The sequence below is a fragment of the Homo sapiens genome, chromosome 3 (genome assembly GCF_000001405.40).
Source record: "Homo sapiens chromosome 3, GRCh38.p14 Primary Assembly".
NCBI lineage: Eukaryota > Metazoa > Chordata > Mammalia > Primates > Hominidae > Homo > Homo sapiens.
The window spans coordinates 167,339,057-167,365,145 of record NC_000003.12 but is presented as its reverse complement, the minus strand read 5'-3'; the positions used below and the strand labels follow the sequence as shown (position 1 = coordinate 167,365,145).

The 26,089-nt window shown below is 33.5% G+C and overlaps 1 protein-coding gene across 22 annotated transcripts in view; it reads left to right on the top strand.

The window, feature by feature from the left end:
* The window catches only part of ZBBX (zinc finger B-box domain containing), a 229,485-nt gene that overhangs the window by 42,741 nt on the left and 160,655 nt on the right, over positions 1–26,089 (top strand). For 21 of the 22 annotated variants that reach the window (XR_924174.3, XR_924173.2, XR_924177.3 and 18 more), the window contains 3 exons: positions 4,423–4,471; positions 5,167–5,276; positions 14,631–14,726. Coding sequence is in view for 19 of the 22 variants with exons in the window: in XM_024453753.2 (XP_024309521.1) it covers positions 4,423–4,471; positions 5,167–5,276; positions 14,631–14,726 (255 nt within the window). In the remaining 3 variants the exon portion in view is untranslated. The remainder of the gene's footprint in view (positions 1–4,422; positions 4,472–5,166; positions 5,277–14,630; positions 14,727–26,089) is intronic. The other variant, XM_011513152.2, reaches the window with a different exon arrangement.

Here is a 26,089-nt window from a genome sequence, read left to right as displayed (position 1 = left end):
CTCTGGTGTCATTCCCTATCTTAGGGAAAAATCAATTATAAAAGTTTTGACCCCAACGTTTAAAAAAAACTTATCTCACTAGAAACAGGCTATTTGTAAGACTATTAAAATAATCTAGAGGTCAGATGAAAGGAGGCTGAATTAAAAGGGTAGGAAAACATATATAAAGAAAAATATGGAACCATAAAACAGTGAGAAAGGAGAGGAGGAAGTCAAACATATAATTGATATTACAGGCTGGATTGACTAAGAGACAGCATAAAGAAAGGACTTAGAAAAGTACGGGGTATACATTTAGAGTTTTGTTTGAATTTTCAAGTGATAGTTGAAGTTAAGGGAGTAAATGTACTCCCTAGGATTTGTAAAACATAGAGAGGTGTAAAGAATAAAGCTTAAAGAAAGCCAGTGTGTAAACTATATTGGCAAAGAGAACTTTAATATTCACTCAATAAGCTCAATAAGTTTTAATACCAGTCAACAGTTTCGCTTCTTTTCCTTTCTTATCTCATTAAGTGCTTATATCACTCCTAAGAGGATGTTATTATTATTCCAGTTTCACAGATGAAATAACTTAATATAAAAAAAAACTAAATAACTCACTCAAGGTCAAAAGTCAGGGCCAAGATTTGACATGTAAGCTCTCAGGCTTGTCTAAGATAATTTGCCAGCTCTCTAGTGAAGAGAGATTGAGAAGAAAAAGAATGGCGAAGTAAAATCGAAGTAGTTCAATGTTATAAGGACGAAAGTAAAGGAGAACATTTTTGGAAAATATGAAGTCAATAATGTCCAATATATTGTGTAGTGAAAAAAGTTTTGAGTATCTATTTAGACTAGTGTTTCTGAAGGGGGCAATTTTGCTTCCCAGGAGACATTTGACAAAGTCTGGAGACATTTTCAGTTGTTAACATTGAGAGGTATATTTTTGTTGTTGTTGTTGTTTTTGCGTATTTTTTTTTTTTGCTAAAGATATATAGTGAGTAAGGGCCAGGGGTGCTGCTAAACATCCTACAATGCACTTGACAATCCCCACAACAAAGAATTATTCGGCCCCAAATGTCAGTGATGCTGAGGTCTAGAAACTCTGTATTAGATTATATAGATTAACATTCACTTAACCTTTCCAAGCCTCTATTACTACACTTGTAAACTTGCATAATAATACCTACTAACCACTTCAAAGAGCTTTTGAGCAATGTCAAAAACTCTTGAAATATGTGAAACCACTTTGTAATGATACCTAAACATTACATTAAAATGTCTATTTCTGGATAATGAAAATATTTAAAAGACCTAAATTTGATGATTGTGTCAATATTAAATAAGAGAGTAGATTTCAATTGGTTGAAAAGAAAACGGTGGGAAGCAATGAGTAAAGACTATTGTTGCAGCCAGCATGAAAGCAGTTGGTGACCTTTCAAGGGTTTAATAGAATCAAGGAAAGACTTTATTATATTCTTTTCTAGAATTGTCAAGATGATGTGGGCCAGTTTGTAGAATGAAAGATGGACATCCTAGTAGAGGAAAGAGTCAAAATGTAGATGAAAGAGGTGCCAGTTGCTGGGTGTGTGGTCTTTGAAGAGGTAGTCCATTAAAGAGGCCTTCACCAAGGAAAGGAAGACATATTTTTTGTGTGTGTGTGAGACAAGAAAGGTGGAAGAAAAAACAGGTGGCAATGAAAATAAATTTTAGAGATTGTTTTTGACAAGTGGTGAGGTGGGACACTGAAAGATTTTAATGGGAAGACCTCAACTTTCTTAGGACAGTTGAAGACAATATCGTCTGCTCAGGTGAATTAAGGGAAATGGGATGAATTTGAGTTCTTGGGAATGAAGAGGTTTGGAGTAGCCACTGTGGGAATTGTGGTTGGGGATTAGCAGCAAATGAGTAAATGGATTGCCAAAGAGCCATATAGCCCATTGAGGCTGATCAGCATGGATTTGTAGGAGGCTCTATAGTATTATTTTTATCACAGTGGTACATAGATATTGGAGGCATCAGAAGGAAGAGATAAGGTGATTGAGGTTGGCACTGAAAAACTTTAGAGTCTGAGATTTTGAAGGTGTGGCTATTCAGAATGCTGCTTACATGCCAGATTTGGTTATAATGGTGAGGTGGCTGAAGAGGCATTTAGATGTTCACAGTAGCCAGCATGTTGGAGGGTCTTCAAACCAGGATGTCAGGTGAACATGTGCATTGAAGTCTCTAAGACTGTCAAGCAGAAATGTGATGGAGAGAAATACCGAGCAGGTTGCTGAAGTTCAGGTGGAAGAGACCCTAGATATTGACACAAGCAATAAGTGGATGGTGGGGACCTATAGTAGAGGCACCTTTGCTGAATCATGATAGCACAATAATATTCTGGAAACAGCACTGAAGAGCAAATAGAAAAATTTTCTCTTTCCTGGTATGTGAAAGGAAGTGGAAAGGGGCTAGGTCCTGTGGGAAGTGCTTTGGTGAAGATTGTGTCTAAGCAAAGGTGGCTTTCAGTTGATGTAAACTTTTGATGAAACATTTTTGGGAAAGGTTTAAAGCATAAGATACATAAATGACTATTTAATAGAAGATCCACGGAATGGCAGTGGGGGCTTGGAAGGAAGGACAATTAGTACAGAATTGCGAAGTTTCAGTAGCTAACTGGGTTGACAGTGAGAACGTCTGAAAGATGACTGTAGGAGAAGTTTGGGCTCAGTGTGGCAGATGAAGGCATTGGTGGGAGTTCGGAGGTATTTGTGAATGCCAGGGAGGCTGATGATGACAGCATATTCTGACCCCAGTGGCATAGATAATATGTCTGTGTGGTAAATCCACTAAGCTTTCCTGGCCCCTGATAGCACCCCTTCAATACCTACTGGTGGAGGAGTCAGCATGTTAATAAGGCATAGGCTTTAGTATATTAAGTTCCTGACATTTGTATATACAAACATATGCAGATATCCATCTTTCTATCTATATGTATATATACATATGCATGTATTATATATGTATATGTACATGCGCATATATGTGTATATGTGTGTTTGTGTAAGCATGTGTATCCTTGGTTCAACCCTACCTCCAACCCTTTCCCTAACAGATAAAAATCAGACCTATGAGGAAATTCTATTTGTCTAAAAATAGCAGCTAGAGGTTTGTTCACTGAAATATTTTTATGCAGTTTGAATCACTTGAAATAAATATGGCTGTATTCATAGAGCAGAACAATATTATTCATAATAATAAAAACAAATTATACAATTTCCCTAATAATGGGTTCATTTTGCTTGGGCATATCTATCCATTCCATCCAGGGTAGCCTACAACCACACTGATCATGTTTCAATTCAGATGTATCATTAAGGTAGTCATACTGGATAATTTGGTTATGAAAAATGAGATTAGATTATCTGTAACTTGTATAACATTAGCAATTTAAAAATAAAAGTGTGGTTCATAGAAAAATTGATGATTTCAATCTTATTTTCTTTTCTGCTGTGTTTAGTACATAGCATCTGAGCAGTTACTTTGAAGAATGTGAAAAATAACTGCCCCTTTGAAGCAAAACCACTAGATTCACTGAGAATAATTAGGCCTACATTTTCAGATGACTGCAGTTGCTACAGCCATAGATATAGAGGCAGTCATTGTTCTCAGATTCTCATGTACAAATTGAGCAATTGAGCATGCAAATTGCAAATTGAAAACTAGGCCTGAATTGACAGTATCTATATAAATGCACACCATCCTTCATTCTCGTTTGTGTACTTTAAATGTTGGTTTTAATAAGATCAAGGCAAGCATGTTCAATTGGCAAGAGTATTTTACTTCCTAAAATATTAAAATCCCAAAATTTTAAGTGATGATTTATTTGAAATATCTAGCAGTGAATCTTATTTATTCATTTTTTTTGGCTAATATTTAGGAAAGTCAGTGATCACAAATAATACTTTTGAAGGATAAGTCTGTGATGCTTACACATGCAGTTCTCTAAATTGGGCAAATAAAATAATATGGGTTTCTATAGTAGTGTAAGCAGAATAGCTTAGTCACAATTCAGTTTAGATTCAGCTTACACAAATATTAGACTGTGTGTCTCAGAAAGAGCAGAAATAGAAAAGATGTATTAAACCTTTACAATATTTGAATACTAGCAAATAATTTCATAATGAGATATAATGGTTTTTGTTTAAAAGCCAAATTATGTTTTCAAAAACTGGTTTAGATATATTTTTAAAATTTATTTTCTTTTTTATGAATTTCTATTAGATTAATTAAAAGGTACATATATGCTTTAATGATGATCTCCTATTAATTTTATATTATTCTTTAAAAATAAATTTTTGTTCGAAAAGCACCAAAGCTACAGCTTTCTAATATTTTTGTTGGCAACTTTCGTTGAATAAGATAATATATACCTGACAAATAGTATCTATTTTATTAATACAGTTTTCTGCTGGAAAAGTGAAATTAAAATTGCTGAAGGAACAGATTCAAGGTAAATAATTTATCACCATGTTAATAAATGCTAAAGACATCCCTTTCTTTTACATTGTAATTACAAATAAAGTTAAAGTTTTAGAATTGTCCGGGCAGTATAAAGATTCTAAACCCCCAAATCATGACACATTGATTTTCAACATAAATTTTATTCGGGTGGTTAGGGGGGCTTTTGTGTCAAAAAATGTAAACTTAGTACATGATTATAGTAATAGTATTTTTCAAAAGTGAGGACTTTTACAGCACTGTTCCTTAAATTTTATTGATGTAATGTTTTAATAAGGAAGATAATTTAGCAGTGTAAATTATAAATTAAAATTTCACTCTAGAAAATTTTTAAAAATAGAAAAATTGCTTTATATTTTAATAAATTATTTAATAATAGCAAAACCAAAAATATAATTTGAATTTATAATAATTCCCAAGGAAATAAGATGTTTTTCTGGAGGATAGTAAACACAAATGTTGCATGATTAATATAGTTTGGTAGAAAAAATTCAGAAATATATATAATATATATTTATATACATATATTTATTATGAATATATATAATTATAAATGTTTAGAATTTGTTCTATGTGGGCTTCAGTTTGATACAGAGATGGGAAGTATGCATAGTTTCATTAATTTATCAATTGGAAAATTTAACATATTTTTAAATGATTGGAGTAATATTATTTTTTATCTTGCAGAGCCAGTGAAACCAACAGTTAATTATAAAATGGCAAATTCTTCAGAATGTGAAAAACCCAAGATAAATGGGAAAGTATGTGGACAGTGTGAGAACAAAGCTGCTCTACTGGTATGTACGTTATATAGTATATATACATATACTGTATAGTAGGTATATTAAGCAGTTAGAATAGAACTTTCACATGGCCTCATACACCTCTCCCAACTTAACTTGCTTGGTAGCCATATACTTTTTCTTCATTACTGTTACTGTGGGTTGAGCATGCATGCTGCTGGGGACAGTCAATACCTGTACTTATTCTCTGAATCTCATCTTCTCATTCTTGTTTAAAGACATCAGCTTAGACCTTGTCTCCGCTCCTTTGAGTCATACCTATTAGCACACAAACATGTTGCAGTATATCCCATCCAAAACCAAAACCAAACCAAAACTACAACAACAATTCTTTTTGACCTCCAAGCCTGCACCCCATTATTGTAAAACTCTTCTGAAGAGTTGTCTATACTTGCTGTCATCATATTCTATCCTCCCATTGTCTATTTTTTTAATATTGAGGCATAATTTACTATGAGATGGATGGACTTAAATGTACAGTCAGATGCCTTTTGATTAATGTGTCCACCTCTATCAAGACCTAGAAGATTACCTTTACCCTGGAAAGTTCTCATGTGCCTTTTCCAATCAGTCCCCAACACCAAGGCAACTACTGTCCTGATTTTTAACACTATAGATTTAGTGATATCTGTTCTTGAACTTTATGTAAATGGAATAATATAGTATATACTTTTGGCTTCTTTTGCTCCACATGATTCATCCATGTTAAATTTATTGGTAATGTGTTCATTTGTATTATGGAGTAGTATTCCATTGTACAGTTATAACACAATTTGTTTATCCATTCATACATTGAATGACATTTGGGTTGTTTCAATATTTTTGCTATTATGTTTAAGGCTGCTATGGACATTTGTGTATGTCTTTTTTTTCTTTTCTCACAAGTGACATATTCTCTCTCTTTTTTTTTTTTTTTTTTTTTTTTTTTGAGATGGAGTCTTGCTCTGTTGCCCAGGCTGGAGTGCAGTGGCGCAATCTGGGCTCACTGCAACCTCCGCCTCCAGAGTTCAAGCAATTCTCCTGCCTCAGCCTCCCAAGTAGCTGGGATTATAGGCACGCGTCACCACGCCCAGCTAATTTTTTGTATTTTTAGTAGAAATGGGGTTTCACCATGTTAGCCAGGATGGTCTCGATCTCCTGACCTCATGATCCGCCTGCCTCTGCCTCCCAAAGTGCTGGGATTACAGGTGTGAGCCACCACGCCTAGACTATATATCCTCTCTTAAAAGCTATAATGTGAAATGAAAAAATTACAGAAAATTATGACTTCTGACTGCTCTTTAACTTCTCATTGGTACCAATTTCATGAACATTTAAAAAATTATAGTGAAATACATATAACATAAAATGTGTCAACTTAGCTATTTTAAGTATACAGTTTAGTAGCATTAAGTATATTAACATTGCTATGCTTCATTCACAGAACTGTTTTCATCTTGCAAAACTGAAACTCTGTATCCATTAAACAATCACTTCCCCATCCCCATTCCCCCCATCCCCTAGTAAATAGTATTTTACTTTCCGTCTCTGAGAATTTGACTACTCTACCTCATATAAGTAAAATCATACACTATTTGCCTTTTAGTTACTGGCTTATTTCGCTTAGCATAGTATCCTCAAGGCTTATTCATATTGTGGAATGATAGGATTTCTTTTTTTATTATTTTTTTATTTTACTTTATTTTATTTTATTATTATTATACTTTAAGTTTTAGGGTACATGTGCACAATGTGCAGGTTAGTTACATATGTATACATGTGCCATGCTGGTGTGCTGCACCCATTAACTCGTCATTTAGCATTAGGTATATCTCCTAAAGCTATCCCTCCCCTCTCAACAACAGTCCCCAGAGTGTGATGTTCCCCTTCTTGTGTCCATGTGTATTCATTGTTCAATTCCCACCTATGAGTGAGAATATGCGGTGTTTGGTTTTTTGTTCTTGCAATAGTTTACTGAGAATGATGATTTCCAGTTTCATCCATGTCCCTACAAAGGACATGAACTCATCATTTTTTATGGCTGCATAGTATTCCATGGTGTATATGTGCCACATTTTCTTAATCCAGTCTATCATTGTTGGACATTTGGGTTGGTTCCAAGTCTTTGCTATTGTGAATAGTGCCGCAATAAACATACGTGTGCATGTGTCTTTATAGCAGCATGATTTATAGAATTTCTTTATTTTTTAAGGCTGAATAATATTCCTTTGTATGTATGTGCCATATTTTGTTTAACTATTCATCCATTAGTGGACACTTGGGTTGCTTCCCCCTTTTGGCTATTGTGAGTAATGCTGCTATGAACATGAGTGTACAAATACCTCTTTAAGACCCTGCTTTCAGTTCTTTTGGGTGTATACCTAGAACTGGAATCACTGGATTCCCATTCTCTCTTGAATTCTCTCCATTCAGTCTTGGGTCTCCACTACTATCCAGGAACTGTTTCTGTCAAGGTCAACCAGTGACTTCCACATTCTCATATACAATGGTCAATTCTCAGTTCTTAATGTATTAGGAATATTTTATAGTACAGTATCCCTCCCCTTATCTATGACTTTCTTCATTCAGCTGGCTTCCTCTGGGACACTATGATTTCTTGATTTCATTTGACATTGATATCTGTTTCTTCTCTGTTCTTTGCTGGTTTTCTGTATTGACCTCTTAATGTTGGAATGCCACAGGGCTCTAATCTTGTCCATCTATACTTACTCTTTAGCAATCTCAACCCCTCTGTTGGCTTTAAAGACCCTATCTATATTGATCATCCCCTAATTTACACATCCACCTTATACCTCTCCCCTGAAGTTTTGGCTCAATCTACCTACTCAACACCTTTATTGGATGTCTAATAGGCATCACTATTTTAATGTGTTCAAAATTAAGCCCTTAATCTTTTTCCAATAAATAGTCTTCCCTCACAGTTTCCTCATATCAGTAAATATCAACTCAAATGTTACTTACATTGATAGCCCTTTGTAAAATAGTAAAAGCTGAGTTGCACTCTCCAGTTTTGTGAAGCTAGTTCATTTGTCTATGTAATATTGATCATCATTGATTATATGTTTATTTATTTTCTACTTATCTGCAATGTAAACTTCATGAGGGTAGGAGTGTAGTTTTGTTCACTGCTGTGTGCCTACCACCTAGAATTATGCCTGCAGTGTGGTAGGCACTCAACAAATATTTAATGAATGAATTATTTCTTTGAAACTATTTCATAATATAGACATTCTCTTAATTTACACATATTTTCCTTTCAGTTATCATTGAAGGTACTGCAGCATCATTTGCAATTTTAAATATAACACATAGGTAAAAAGCAGTTTCCTCTTCAAAGAATTTAATGGTTATGTATACTAATATTTGTATATTATGTTACAGTTTTAGAGAACTTAGCCATAATCATTTCTGACTTAAATCTATATTGTTAGGTTTATTTAATGGCAATTTTAACTGGACTCTGAGTTCGAATGCTGCACATCTAATAAAGAGCTAATAACAATATTAAATGTAAAACCCCCGCTCTTGGTAGTAGAATACTCTTCTTATTACATTATATTATTTTCTTATTTGATATGATGTTTGGCAGTAATTTAAGGAATCTTAAAAAAATTGCTGTCCAGAAATTTGTAAAAATTATAAACAAATGCTAATATTTCCTAAGTTAAAAGTGTGAAAGCTAAAAGGCACTTACAGGTTGAATTAAATTGTTGGGATCTGCTTCTAATGATCTGAAAACGAATTATACAGGAGCTATGAGTCAATATTTTTTGTGACTCCTACTCTGTGGTAAGCACTTGAGCCATGGAACTTGAACAGTATGACACAAGTAGATAGGGCTTGACCCGAAAATAAAGGATCTGTTTTTCAAGAAAGAAGGAAAAGTAAGAAGAAGGATGTCCCAGACAAGATAAGCAGCAGGTGCCTTGGCTGGAAAGCACAGGAGAGTGACATTGTATGCAGTGATTAAACAGCTGATTTACCTGAAAAACACTGTGTAGACAAGCCAGAATTTAGAATAAAGAATTTAAACATTCTTTAAAATGATTTTGAGAAAGAATGTTATTTTATTTGAATAAAAAGAATATCCCATGTTAGTTGTCAAAACATAATAAAAAGCTATTTAAAAATTCAAATTAGGCAGATTTAGTGAAGTAGACCATGGTATTGTTAAACTCTGATGTTATCTTGTGTTCTTAGCATCTGTCATTGCATATGGTTATGCTGACTGGATAATGAGTGAATATATATATTTGAAAGCCACATATGTGTATATATGAATATATATATAAAGGATATATATATCTATGTATATAGATATAGATATATGTATATCCTTGGCCTTCACCAGGGAAAATTGTGTATGGGAGATAGGAGTTAAGGGCTTGTGTTTTGGGAGTTTGAAACTCAACTTTACCTGTTATTAGCTATGTGACCTTCAGCAAATGACTTAATCCCTCTTTATCTCTGTTTCCTCATTTGTGAAATAGGTTACTACGGATAACAGTAATCTGTACCTCAAAGTTATCACACGTAATGAGTTAATACATGTAAAATATTTAGCATTGTGTCCAGCACATAGACGGAAGACAATAAACAGTGTGTTTTGTTGTTGGCAAATTTTTAAATGACCTATCCATTTACATATATTGATGGCAAAGACGAAGCCCAAAAGTTCCACTTTTCTTATATATTAATTTGGCAAATGTGAATAATTTAATTAAACTCAAATGGATTCTGAAGCTTAGCACAACTGATCTGGCATTCATCAAATTAACAAGATATTTGTTAAAACTGCAGTTGGATATTCCATCATTGAGGAAGCATCTGTGGTGGGAAGGAGTCCTTATTTACATTTTTAGCATGTTTCTGCCAGTTGTACAAACTGCCTAAAAAGATTTTCCAATTGGAGGTCATTTTAACTCAATTTTAATCCAAATATCCTTGTATAACAAAATATATAAGCTTACTCTGCAAGTCCAGCATTGATCTTCCAGTCTACAAATATTCGTTTGGCTACTTTTACTAAAAGTATGTTGTTAACAGACACTTGGCTTAGAATTATATGCTGAAACTCATTTTCAGTTTTCTGCATTATAGTGTAAAAACAGTGCCAAATGTTTAGGAAAAATTCACTTAAAATTAGCAAGTTATATTAAATAAAAATTATGCAGAATATATTTTGAAATCCATATTAATATAATGATATAACCATGTATTTATATAAAATTATAGTTTTAAAGTTTATTTTACACTTAAAATTACGGATTTAGGATAATGTTTTTATCATTTCTCTAGAAGAATGAAGCTCATGAAACAAGAATGGAAAGAGGGGACTAGTTTCTATGCTAGGGATAGTGTTTTTTTTTCTTCAGATTAAGTAAAAATTCCATCATCTTTTAGCTAATCACACTTGAAAAACATACATTTGGATTTTGATACATACCAGACCATGCATTCTTTTTAAATACTGAATTTTATTTTATTGTGGATTTTATCAAGGTTTTTCGATATAAATGGTCCCTGACTTACCATTTTTCACTTACAATTTTTTGACTTTATGATGTGTAAAAACAGTATGTATTCAGTAGAAACCATACTTCAAAGTTCGAATTCTGATATTTTCCCAGGCTAGTGATATGTGGTAAAATACGATGCTAGGAAGCTCATAGTCAGCCATGTGATCATGAAGGTTAAAAAAAACACAAGATATTCAACAATTTATTATAAAATAGGTTTGTGTTAGATGATTTTGCTCAAATGTAGGCTAATGTAAGTGTTTTGAGCACATTTAAGGTTAGCTAGGCTAAGCTATGATGCTTAGTAGGTTATTTGTACTAAATATATTTTCAACTTACAATGTTTTCAATTTATGATGGGTTTATTGGGCAGTAGCCACATTGTAAGTTGAAGAGTGTCTGTAACTGATCACTATTTTAGTTTATTGTAAATGATTAATTTAAAGATTAGTAATGTTTGTTGTGGTTAAGGGTTTAAGCTTTGAGCCACATGGTAGGATTGAATTCCTGTCCCCACCACTATTAGCTTGTATGACTCTGGACAAATTCTTCATCATTATGTTCTTTTGTTATCTCTTCTTCATTATGGAGATACAAGGGTGATTGTAAATTTATAGAGTTGTTGTGAGGATTAAATGAGATAAAACATATAATATCACTGCTCTGTTATAATTTATTATTATTATTTTTATTTTTATAGATTTAGTTGGTACAAGTGAAGTTGTGTTATCTGGATATATTGTGTAGTGATGAAGTCTGGGCTTTTAGTACCCATCATCTGAATGGGAACATCATAGCCACTATGTAATTTTTCAGTCTTTACCCCTTTCCCACCCTTCCAATGTATGGAGTGTCCAGTGTCTATTTTTCTACTCTGTATGTCCATGTGTTTAGTTAACACCCATTGTTTAGCTCTCCCACTTACAAGTAATACATGCAGTATTTGACTTCTTGTTTATGAGTTATTTCACTTAGGATAATGGCCTCCATCTAGTTCCTTTCATGTTGCTGTAAAAGATGTAAAATCATTCTTTTTCATAGTGGAGTAGTATTCCATGGTATATATCTTACAATATTTTCTTTATCCAATCAATTGATGAGTGTGTCAGAGAAGCCATTAGGGTTTTCTAGGCATAAGATAACATCATTAGCAAACATAAATAATTTGACTTCCTCTTTTCCAATTTGGATGCCTTTTATTTCTTTCTTTTGCCTGATTGTTCTGGCTAGGAATTCCAGTACTATGTTGAATAGAAGTGGTAAAAGTAGGCATCCTTGTCTTTTTCTAGTTGTTAGGGGCAACGTTTTAGACACTTCCCAGTTCAGTAAGATGTTGGCTGGGGTTTGTTGTCTTATGACTTTTATTATTTTGTGAATGTTTCTTCTGTGCCTAGGTCGTTGAGGGTTTTTATCATGGAGTGATGCTGAATGTTATCAAATGCTTTTTCTGCATCTAATGAGATATGATATAGTTTTGTTTTTATTCTATTTATGTGGTAAATCACATTTATTGGTTTGCATATGTTGAAACATCCCCCATCCCCTGGATAAAACCCACTTTATTATGGAGTAGTATCTTTTTGATGTGTTGTTGGATTCAATTTGCTAGCTTTTTTTTTTTTTGAGAATTTTTGTATCTATGTTTATTAATGGTATTGGACTCTTAAGTTTTATTGTGTCCTTGCCTGGCTTTGGTAGCAGGGTTACCCTGGCTTCTTAGAATGAGTAGGGAGTATTTCCTCCTTGATTTTTTTGAAATAGTTTCAGTGGTATTGGTATCAATTTTTCTTTTTATGACTGGTAGAATTTGCTGTGAATCTGTCTGATCTTGGCTTTTTTGTTGTTGGGAAAATTTTTATTACTGATACAACGTCACTACTCATATTGGTCTGTTCTGGATTTCTATTTTTTCCTGTTTCAACCTTGAGAGGCTGTGCGTTTCCAGGAATTTATTCATTTTCTATATGTTTTCTAGTTTGTGTGTGGAGATGCTCATAGTAGTCTCTGATGATCTTTTGTATTTCTATGGTATCAGTTTTAATGTCACCTTTATCATATCTTATTGTGCGTATTTGAATCCTCTCTCATTTTTCTTAATCTAGCTAGTGGTCGATCAATTTCATTAATTTTTTCAAAGACCCAATTTTTCATTTTGTTGATTTTTTACATTTTTTAGCTCAATTTTATTTATTTCTTCTCTGATCTTTGTTATTTCTCTTTTTCTGCTAGCTTTGGGTTTGGTTTGTTCTCTTTTTTTATGTTCCTTGAGATCTTTCTATCTTTTTGATATAGGCATTTGATGCTATATACCTCCCCCTTAGCTGGCTGTGATAAGGAGGGGTGGACTGATCCCAGGTCACCAGCTGAACACTGGTGGGTCAGCGATGGCTATGTTGTGGGCCAGCAACCAGGAAGGGCAGAACATTCTCTAATGGAAAGGCCAGCAGACAGTTTTGGGAGAGACTGACAGGAATGGGGTGCTTGATCTGAATGCACCAGGTCATGCATCAGTAGTGGCAGAGCATGAGAACACCCAGCTTCCCCTCTTGCTCCCCAGCCCTGCAGACAGGAAGGGCACCAGTGGTCTCTGGGCAGGACTCAGACCCTTGGGGTATGGGCTCCAGGAATGGCACCTTAGTGCAGCTGCTCAGCACTTGGAAGCCTATGGGACTTCACATGAATTCTAGCCATTCCTCTGTGTGATATCCAGGCACCTCTCTAGGCCAGTGTGGAGGCCTATGGGGCTCCTAGATCTCTCCATAGTTAGGATTGCAGAGGTCCATGGTAGGAATGAGGAGCATTGGAAATCCTTCACTTACTCCTTCCCTGGGTCCAGGTCCCAGTGACCCCAAGCAGGAAGCCCTGTTTCTCTTTTCTTCACCCTTGGTGTCTCCCATCATCTCTCTTCTGAATTCCAGTGTTCTCTCTCAGGCAATCTATTTGAAATGTGAATATCTACTTGATACTTTGGCTCCTGTCTATAGAAAGGCACACCCAAGCTGCATTTAATCATCCATCTTGAACCTGACATCCAATTTCCATTTCCTTTTCTCTTTAGTTTCAGTTTTGCTTGGCACCATCATAGGTACGAGTATTTTACATTATTTAACTTGTCCAACAATTTTAAAATTACATTTTTAAACATCATAATTTGGAAGTTAAATATAAACTTGCCCATAATCATTTTATCAGTTATTAACATTACAGACATGGTAATGTAGTTCCATCTAGTATTTTTTTCTTATACTTTTTTTTTTCCTTTAGAGATGCTTGTAAGAAAAATTTTAAAGCCATACTTTGAGAACCACCAGTAAAGGAGTACCTTCCAGGGAAGTGTATAGGGATTTTGGAGGGCAAAGAGTATGCATATCACTTGAAACTAATTATGTCATGTAAATCCATACAGAAAGATAAAATAACTCATACAAATGAAGGAGTTTTCACCCAGAGATAATGCTGTTTAGTTTTTACCAGGTCAAGAAGTTTGACCTGAGGCTACTGGTTGTTTTATAGTTTATTCAGAAACTATGCATACATCCATGCATCTAAAATATACACCCCAAACCTACATTAAAACTACATTTATTTTGATATGAGAATAATTAGTGTTTTCGAATTAGTTTTCTTCAAAGAGTTAAGTCTTAACTGGGACAACTAGTCCCAGTTAAGGGACTAGTTGAGAAGCCTGGGACAGGCTTCTCAATTCTGATGATATAGGTATTTAATTAGAGAAATAAATATTAAAAAACAAGACATCTTTATGCAAACACTTTCTAAAAATCATACTATTTTATAAGATTGTATAATTTTTTAAAAAATATCTTTTTAGGTATGCCTTGAATGTGGAGAAGATTATTGTTCAGGATGCTTTGCTAAAGTTCACCAGAAAGGGGCACTAAAGCTCCACAGAACAACTCTTTTGCAGGTATGGCTTTCTAAAATGATTTACTTGTAGTGTGTTTATAAAATGTTTCCACATAAAGACATTTAAAATGTCTTTAGTTATCTAGAACTCAGGATGATTTACGCTAATTTCTAAAATTCTATTATATACAGACAATCCTGATGCATATTTTTAAATTATTTTATTGAATACTAATCTAGACTCTATTTTACTATTTAAACTGTTTTAACGTAGTTGCAGAAACAGCTTAGAGTCTTCAGATTATGTATTCTGACTGTGAACTTGACACTTAAAAATTAGAAAATATTTTATCTATTGTGATTTCAAATGAACACATAGGTTATTTTAAATATTATTTCTATAGTTTTTAGGTATAAATCTCTTATGTTTTCAAGTTTATTTAAAAATTAGTTCTTATTTATCTTTGCCCATTATTATTTAGGAACGCTTATCTCTCAGGTTTCTATTTTTCCTTCTGTACATATAAGGACCTTTTGTTTATCCTTATATAATCATTGATTTTGGAAATGCCTAAACTCAAACCCTGTCAAGTGGCTTTAAGATTCTAATACTTAAACTATAAATAGAATTAGATATAGACATGGCATTACACTAGTTACAGTTAATGATGCATTGCTTTGTCATAGATTTTATTCATTTTATAGTAATTTATTCAACAAATATTTATTGAGTACTTTCTAGAAGGCAGGGTATGTGCTAGGCTGTGACCTTATAGAGATGAATAATGGTAGGATCCTACTCCTAATTAGTTAAGGGTTTTAATATTATCTGTAGGCAAAGGAATAGAGATAATCAGATCTGTGTTTAGAAAGATTACTGGTAGATTTCAATCTTTGCGTTTACCTGAACATGCTAATAAATATCAGTAGCCATCAAGGGTGCTGATGACCCAAATAATGATAACCACAAAATGTAAAATATACCTAACTAATATTCACCAAAGTCAGTGACTTTTGAGTGACCACTCAATGTTTAGCGCTTCTGGGCAGAAAGGATGCAGGGAGAAAAAAACAAAAACCAACCTGCTACTTCTCTCTCTCATGGTATTACAATCAGATAGTCATAAGAAATGAAAATTAATTGATACAGAAGTGAGTCTAATTGTTAATATATGAATAATATAGAATTTAACAAAAGGCATTCTACTTTGTAGATAAATACTGTAACAAAATTATCACAGATGAGTTCATATTAGGAATTTTTCATTCAATGATTTATTGAGCACATTTTCTGAGTTATCACTCAGTGACGTTAAGCCCTGTGCTAGCTGTTGTAGGAGATACAAAGAACAATGAGACATGGCTCCATTTCTTCAGTATCTGAGCTTCAAGATTTATCCAAATTTGATTTTCTTCTTCTTGCTCTCTCTCCCTCCCTGTCTTCTCCTCTCCCTCCCACATAATTTCAAAAGATAGACTTTGCTGTGATATGGCTTATTGTGATCCAGATGCAGATACGACACCAGTCAAATAATTACTGAAAGCAACATGGCATACAGTATGCTTTCTAAACGTTGAGCATTATTTTGTTTTGTTAATATTATTAAAGTGTATGTATCCTGTATCTTAACAGAAGAAAGTGATCATTGTAGGTTGGAAATTTGTAAAATTCCAAATGTAGATTGGATTAAATTAGTGAGAAAATATCTACCGAATATACACTTCATATATATATAGTATGTTTACTGTTTCTTTTGTATAACTTCCTTCGGGTTACATAGTTCTTTTGCACAGAACATGTATGGCAATCTACAGACTCTCTCTACTCCCTTTCTATCTTTATTGAGCCATAATTGACAAATAAAAAATGTGTACAATTAAGGTGCATAATTTGATGTTTTGACATATATATAGATACACATTTTGAAATAGTCTCCAAATTCAACATAATGAATGTTTCTATCACTTCACATTACATCACAATTTCCTCTCTTTCTTTCCTTCTCTCTCTTTCTTTCTTTCCTCTTTCTCTCCTTCTCTCTCTTTCTCTCTCCCTCTTCTCTTTCTCTCTCTCCTCTCCCTCCCTCCTTCTTCTTTTCTTTTCTTTTTTTTCTTTCTTTCTTTCTTTCTTTCTTTCTTTCTTTCTTTCTTTCTTTCTTTCTTTCTCTTTCTTTCTCTCTTTCTTCTTTCCTTCCTTCCTTCCTTCCTTCCTTCCTTCCCTTCCACCCTCCCTCCCTCCCTTCCTTCCCTCCTCCCTCCCTTGCTTCCTTCCTTCCTTCCTTCTTTCATCTTTCCTTCTTTTTCTCTCTTTCTCTCTTTCCTTCTTTCATGGTAAGAACACTTAAGATACTGCCAGCATCACATTCTTTGGTTTTGATTGCAGAGGAGGGAAGGTTGGTAAGCCACAAATAGTAAAATGGTATTTAAGTTCCTAATAAATCTCATTGTAGAATATACATTTATCTCTAAAAGTTAGCATACATGGATTACATAATATGTACACAAATCAAAGAGCTTGGCAAGGAACTATGATTCTTTTAAAGGTTTCTTCAAATATTGGGATTCTTTTATGTATATAAATTTAAAGTTAAATACAATAAAGAACTATGTCTCTTCCTTGTTCATGTTACTCCTTTATGTTTCCACACCATCTGTGGAGACCAAAGTTGCTACTTGGTGCTGCTGTTGGGGAGAGTCCTAGGAAGTGTATTGTCTACTAGGGAAGTGGAATTGTGAGGTTGGCACTTAGCAAAGAGCATACACAGACTTCCTGTGCTGGGAGCTAAACCTATAATGATGTTATTCTCTTTTTTATAACATTATTTCACCTAACGGAATTACTAAGGAATAAAGTACTTTGAAGGAGACAGCTTTTTTGTTCAGCTAATTCTTAAAGCGAATTTGTCCCTTTATTCATAAAACAAAAATTTTAAATGAAAAGTTTTTAAAAAAAATTTGGATTCTGCATGTATGTGGTTTCATGTAGTATTTTTCTTTCTGTGTCTGGCTTATTTCATTTACTGTAATGTCCTCCAGGTTTATCTATGCTGTCATAGTTAAACATATCTTCTTTTTAAAGGCTGAATAATATTCCATTTTTTATACATAGGTGCTTTTAGTACTAAAAAGAAGCAACTGTGTGAGGTGATGGATATGTTAATATGCTCAATGGTAGTTATCATTTTACATGTATATGTATGTCATGTGCATGTACATGCATACCAAAACATCATGTACATGTTTGTATACTTTAAATATATACAATAATAAATAAATTAGATAGATGTTTTTTGAAAGAAACTATTTCAAATTGTACTACGTACTCCCTCCTGTAAATAGAGCACAGTGAACAGTTTCACTATGTGTGAGTGACTCATGCCTGTTATAATAACCACCTTTATTATAAGAAATAGAATAAGAAAGAGGCCTCAAATAGCTGATATAGTGTTTATGATGATATATTCCCCCTCAGAAATTCACTATTCTGATTAGTACTTAATTTTTCTCCTTTATTCTGGTCTTGCCCATTCTCTGTCATCATTTCTTGATTTTAATCAATTGTCTTGTAGCTCTCTGCCATTTTCTTTCTATCTCTAGTCTCTGTTTAACCTTTCACTTCTTTTTTCAGTCAACATGCTTTTTTGTCTTATTGTTTTTATCATTTTCCTATGCATAAAGTTTTTGTTGTTGTTGTTGTGCTTTGGCTTTGATGGCCATTTGGTCAGATATCTCTTTTTCTTAGCTCTCACTAACCAATCTTGTAGTGGTTTTTGTTTTTTATTGTTAACCATTAAAGTCATAAGGCTTTGTTGACTGCTGAATCCATTCCTAATTTGAGAAGTTAGGGAAGACATCCGACAGATGAATATTAAGCATTGCTATATAAAAAGCAAGTATTCTAGGCTGACGGTGATTACACTTTATATTCTTTAACCTGTGCTGTCATTTGTGGTTAATATAAAGTGTAGCCAAATTTGATAGTTGTAAACTGTTTCAGCCTTTATCCAACAGCCCAGTAGGTCCTGTGAGTTTAGTCAGTATGGATCATTTTGTATCAGCATACCTTGTTTTACTTACGATCTCTGAAAAATTGAAGGCAAATATTTACATGTTGACTAGTGTTGTAATTTCAAAGGGCCTTTCCTTTGATTTATGATTGATTTGTACTTGGCAGTGATTCAAAACACTTCAAGTTTCTTTGCCTTTTCCAACCTCTGTTAAATATTTAATTAACTGAAAAATGAGGCATAAATGCATGAGAGGCAATTATTAAGGATTAAAATTTTACTTCTACATGTAGAAAGATTGTCAACACTAAGGGTTGAAACAAAAGTTATTTTCAGATGAGAAATGAGGTCTTAATATATCAGGCATTCCTATTTCCTTTTAGCAACGTAAGATCAGACAGAAGAGACAATGTTAATTAGAGAGAATAGAAGATGAGGGAAAACAAACAAAAAGCATTCTATTTGTGAAGTATGACATGCACAAGGGGGGTTAGTTTAAGTAAATTATTAATAGATTATGGTAAATACATTTTCTTAATTGGAATGGAAATTTTCTTAACTGAAAAGGAGAAACCTTGGGAAGGTGGGTGGTATTAATGAAAGAAAAGATAATTGAGGTAGAATTTCCATGCAGTTTTGGTTACTGTAGCCTTGTAGTGTAGCTTGAAGTCAGGTAGCGTGATGCCTCCAGCTTTGTTCTTTTTGCTTAGGATTGTCTTGGTTATATGGGCTCTTTCTTGGTTCCATATGAAATTTAAAGTAGTTTTTTCTAGTTATGTGAAGAAAGTCAATAATGGTAGCTTGATGGGAGACCACAGAAGGGGCAGAGTTGAGAAACGCAGTTCCTTCTCTCAGAGTTACCAATAAGATTGAAATATGTGGATGACAAGTAAATGTTCTCCCAAAAAAGGAATTATCATAAAGTCACATGATTTTAGAGTCCAGGTATGTAAATATTTTGAAAAAATGTATGAATTTTCTATTTGTAAGTATTAATGTTATACTTAAGAAAAATAAAATATTTTAAATGTATGTGAACAATTGAGTATTGTCATATTTTTAACTTATTTCTTAAATATGAATAATGCATATTCCTTATACTACAAGTGCATGTTCATTCCCTTCAATGATTGTTATCACCTGGCATTTCTTCTATCAAAAGATTTTAAAAACCATGTTGCTATCGACTATCATATCTTCTGATAAATTTTAGGACCTTGTGAGAAGGACTCTTTTTTGTCTTGTTCATCACTGTATCCTCAGTGCTTAACATTGTACCTGTGCTGTATAAATCAATTTTTTAACAAATAGAAATGTGAATGAGTCCTTAGTGGTTTGATTAAGCTCCTGAAATAGCGTAAAACTGTATTTTAGGGCAAAATTTATTTTTCTCTGAATTTTGAAAGCAAGGGAATTTTTAACCAAGGATTGGATAATTAAAAGGATTTATGGTATGTTAAGTTGTTATATCAGTGAAGGGTTAACAAAAGCTTTTCCTCCTAAATGTGAGCATTTGACCTTTAATTAACTTTCTCGCCCTTTCCCTGGGAAACAGATAAAGGTAGTCATGTCAACTACATTCCTAGGCAACATACTTATGGTAAGTGTAACCTCTACTTGGCAAATTACATCTAAACAAGGAGAACTATACATACTTGAAGGAAGATATAGCTCCCTGAGTGCAGTGGGCTTTGTAACTGAAACATTCCACTATGGAACTAGCTCTGGAGCTATGAGGTGGGGATTGGCTCTGGTGGAAAGTAAGGTTTCTAAATCAGGTGTATTCCTTATCTACCTGAACTGTACTTCTGCTTGAACTCCTGCAAGAATACCACCAAAAAGGAACAGCTGATGCTGTCCTGCTGGCAAACTGTTATTCCTGTCCTCATCCTTCTGAATAGACTGATGCCAAGAGGATTTGATAGCAGTCTTGAGATTTTAAAGGTTTAGTTAACACAGGCAGACTCTGGTGAGCATGGCATTTAAGTCCTTGATGAGTCAGAATTTGAAACATAGAATGTTGGGATAGCCAAAAGACAAATGAAAAACACTTGTCCAGGAATCATTGACAAAAAGTTTTTAAGAACAGCATTATTGCGATATAATTCATATACCACACAATTCATTCATTTGAAGTGCACAATTCAATGAATTTTAGTATGGTTACTGCTAAGTGAAACTATTAGCATAATTGACTTTAGAACATTTTTGTCACCTCAAAAAGAAACCCCATACCCTTTTGCTCCATCCTCCTCCTATCTCCCTATATTCTCGGGACCAATACTCCTTTCTCTCTCTCTAGATTAGCCTATTCTGGACATTTCATATAAATAGAATCATGTCATATGTGGCCTTTTATGAGTGGCTTCTTTTACTTGCATAACGTTTTCAATGTTCATCCATGTTGTGCCATCTATCAGCATTTCATTTATTTTTAAGGTTGAATAACATTTCATTGTTTGATATAGCATATTTTGTTTATTCATTCATCATTTGATGGATATTCGGGTTGTTTCCACCTTTTGGCTATTATAAGTAATGCTGCCATGAACATTTGTGTACAAGTTTTTTGTGGCCATATGTTTTTAGTTATCTTGGCTAGATACCTACTGGTGGAATTGCTGGGTCATATGGTAACTCCATTTTTAATTGTTTGAGGAACTGCAAGACTGTTTTTCAAAGTGGCTGCAGTATATTGCATTCCAATCAGCCATGTACAAGAGTTCTGATTTCTCTACCTCCTAGCCACCACTTGTTATTATCTGACTTTTTGGTCTAACATCCTAGTAATATGAAGCAGTAGCACATCGTGGTTTGGTTTGCATTTTGATGACTAATGATGTCAAACATCTTTTCATGTGCTTGGTGGCCATTTGTATATCTTCCTGGGATAAATTTTGACAAGAATTTTTCGAAGACCTGGATGTGGGACAGTTCAGTAGCCTGCACTTTAGTGAAGTTATATCTGTGCTAATTACTTTTAGATGCCAGTTCTAAGAAAAGCTAGGGAAGGGGAAATAAAGACAATTGAAAGGGGTAGGGAGAATGGAAATTAGAGTTAATGAAGAGTTGGGAGAATGTAAGTGGCTTAGTGAGTATATTACAGCAGCAAATGACAGAGCAACTGACACAGTAGAGAGGGTAGTGGCAGTACAGGGGCTTAACCCAGAGATGGCATGAATCAACCTTAAAGGGAGAGGTGAGTATTTCTGTGATGTTTATGCTGAGGAAATTTTGAAAGATCATATTTATATATGCAAGCTCAGAAGCTTGCAGGGCTATTGTGAAAATCACATTAAATGCCAACAATTATAAAAATATTCTGCTCATAGAAGGTGCTCCATCCATTAGGTTTTATCAGTCAGGATACAGTATTAGTAGAAATTCAATCCCATTCCTATATTATCTACATTTAAAGCCCAGAAAACAATGTAATATTAATGATGAGTCCAAAGGATTAACAAAAAGATTAATTTTGTGTTGAGGGCTGTTTTCTTTTTTATTACAGCTCTATTGAGGTATAATTGGTAGATAAAAACTGCACATCTTTAATGTACACAATTTGATGGATTTGGACATGTACATATACCCATTATATCATCACCAGAATAATGGTAATACATCCATCCATCACCTCCAAAAGTTTCCTGTGTCCCTTGTTGTTTTTTTTTTTTTGTGGTAATAACACTTACCATGGACCAGAAAGATATTATGATAATTGAAATAAGTAAGTTACAGAAGGACAAATACTACATAACTCTGCTTATATGAGATATTTTAAACAGTCAAATTTATAGAAGCAGAAATTAGAATAGTGGTAGTTAGTGGATAGGGAAAATAGATATTGTTCAATGGGTAGAAAGTTAAAGTTAGCAATATAAATGAGTTCTGGGTACCTGTTGTACAACATGGTACCTACGGTTAATAATACAGATGGATGCATGTAGGGGTGTTTTTTTAAAAGCATTATGGTTACACATATTTTGGAATGGTTTTGTATTTTAAAAACCCATACAGTAAAAGTTTTAGAGCTCAATTTATCAGAGTATATATAAAAATACAGTCTTCCAATTTATTCACACATAGAGGATAATAGAATCTCAATTTTGGAGGGGACCATAAAGATCATTAGTCTAACCCACTGTCTGAACCTTTAGTCAATCATGTTGATGCAGAATATTTGAGGGACTTTTGTAATTTGCAGGTGCTACCTATGTTATCTCATGATTTCTTTCATGGAACCTGACAAATTTTTACAGTAGTTTGTTTGCTATATGTTATGTTCATTGGTCTTTATGGGATACCAATTATCTAATTGTCATATAACAGCAATACTATATTTAAAAACCAAATGTAACAAATTATTGATTGCTACTTGTTAGTAAGTTTATTCTTCTATACCTAAAGATGTTATTCATTTCATTTCATATGAAATTTCTTCCTTATGTAGCTCAAATGAGCTCATGATTTTTTTCATGGAATCTGACAAATTTTACAGTAGTTTTGCTTGCTGTAATATACGTTATGTTCATTGGTCTTTATGGGATACGAATTATCTAATTGTGATGTAACAGCAATACTATATTTAAAAACCAAATATGACAAATTTTGTTGCTATTTGTTAGTAAGTTTATTCTGTTATGCCTAAAAATGTTATCCATTTCATTGCATATACAATTTCTTCCTTGTGTAGCTCAAATATGAACAATTGCTGAAAGCAGTTAACTCATCTGGATGCAACATACTTGTAATATTAGTTGAAAAAAATTGCAAGTACTTGCTAAGATAATTAATATAGTGCATAATTATATGGCATCAAAACTGCAAATAGAAAGCAAAATTACAGGTGTGAGTTTCTTATGTTATTTTGTTTTTGCTATTCTGTCTCACTTTTGAGATTGCTTTCTAAGTAGAATTTTGTAGTGTAATGAAAATTGAAAGGCACAGTTATTTAACCAAAATCCAATGTTGTTATGTTTCCTGAGACCAGGTGCTTTAAACTTTTTTGACAATATGTTACTTTTTCAGCTATTCCATTTATATGTTGTCTTATTTTAAAATATTTTAACTGGATTTGATGTGTTTTATTTCATTATTTTCGTGTTATTTTATAAAGTACTAAATATTGAGTCCAAACTGAGTCCAGATTTCATGTTATTTTATAAAGTACTATATATTGAGTCCAGTTTTATTTAATCTATCTATTAAATAATAAGGTGCATTCATAAGCAGGAGCATGTGTCCAGGTCTTTGCTTTTTTTGCCACTCTATGGGTCAAGGAGGAATAATAATACATAAATCTTTAATTAATAAAACCAGATAGAAATCAGACCTTTAGAGGAAAGGTTAATCTAACAGTCTTTTAAGAACTACTTAAAGTAATACTTACATGATGTTGGAATAAGCAATAAATTTCAGCCACATGAATTTCACATTTGCAGGATTTGATTTCTATCTAGCTTGCAATAAGTAGTTTTTTATACCCTTGATATTTCTGTACCACTACTCTTGCAAATACCATATCTGTTTTTAGAAATATGATGAGCAGAACAGGATTTAAGAACATGATTCTGCTGTTAGTTCTTCCATTGCAATTTTATTTCATCTAATAAATATTTATTTTCCTCCTGTTTCTCTATGTATTTAGATGGGGGCTTTTCCTCAAATTTTTTTTTCTTTTCCAGTTGTCTTCTATATACAAATTTCTTCCCTTTGCTTCTCTACCTTTTCCAGTTGGCCCAAAGTTTACTCCCCTGCACCCCCCAACCCTTTCTTTTGATTCTAACAGTAGATGAAAACTTTGATCCAATCATTTATGGATAGCTTCCTTTAATTTTCAGCGAGAATTCAGACTTGACTATGATAAAGCCTATTTTCAGGGAATAAATTTGGTCTAAGACTATCTATAAAGAAGGACCCATAAGAAAGGTAAAATAATAGTTTGCTTTAAGAATATAAAACATATTTTAATAATGTAAAAAAATTGAGAGATAATGCTCACCTTTTTCATTCTTGTTTAATGGATTAAGATGTTCAAAATTATGTATTTTTTATATGAAAATTACTTTTATTTTGCAAAGATATTTTTACTAAGTGGAAATTTGATGGGTTTATTGCATCCTGCCATAGGTCTATGATACTTTGAGGAATTTATTTGCTTGGTGTAACTAGTACCTGCTTGATGTAGTTAGGTCTATGATAATATGAATAATTTATCTACTTGGTGTAGTAATTTCCTTATAGCTCCAAACTTAGAGAGATTTAGTCTAATTTGTTATTATCAATTTTAGATAATAGGATCCTCATACTCATAGTGCAATGTATTCCATGTAATGTGTAAATAGAAATATCCTGGCAAAATAATCTGTACAGGTTTCTTTGGATAAATAAACTTTAGCAAATGTTTTGATGACTTCTAATAAAAGAGTTTGTTTTACCATAAATTAAAGCATAATTCTTCAGTATACATGTGTTGCTGCCACAACACGGTATATGATTCTTGATGGAAGAAGCCGGAAACCATCATTCTCAGCAAACTAACACAGGAACAGAAAACCAATCAACTCTCACTCATAAGTGGGAGTTGAACAATGAGAACACATGGACACAGGGAATGAAACAACACACACCGGAGCCTTTCGACGCGTGAGAGGCAAGGAGAGGGAGAACATTAGGACAAATACCTAATGCATGCAGGGCTTAAAACCTAGATGATGGGTTGAGAGGTGCAGCAAACCACCATGGCACACGTACACCTATGTAACAAACCTGTACATTCTGCACATGTATCCTGGAACTTAAAATAAAAACAAAACAAACAAACCATTTCTCATTTGGAAAATTGCCCACCTAATTAACAGGGCTTGAGGGAAGATTAGGGCTAGGAGAAGGCCACTCAAATCCTATGGTGCTTTGTAACCAAAACCCAAACAAAAACAGTTAACAAATCCTAGTTAAAACACTAATGCATACTTCTTGAGGACTTGTTCTTACTTCTTGGTGATGTAGTTCCCAGTAGTAATTCACTTCTAAGAGAGATTATTTTTACCAAAATGAAAAATCTAAATCAAGATATAGCCTCCTTTATTTATCTGTTGCTTTAAAGTCAGAGGAGGTGTCTTTACAGCTTCTTTGTGCTCATAGTTTTTCTAGATGGCTTAACTTAGTGAAATGCAGGGTTGTTGAAGTCCCTAAAACAGTCAGAACTTAAGCTAAGGGGAGGCATTTTTATATATTTTTCAGGTTTTTTTCTTATGGTTTTCATATGTTGTTAAGATTTTGGCTTTAGTTGTAAGAAAGCTTGCCCCTGATTGCTTCAAAACAATAACACGTTGGGAAAAAAACCTTAAGAATCAATAACACTCTGGAGTTAATACAGACATCATTGCCCTATTTACCGACTGCATATGAGGTAATT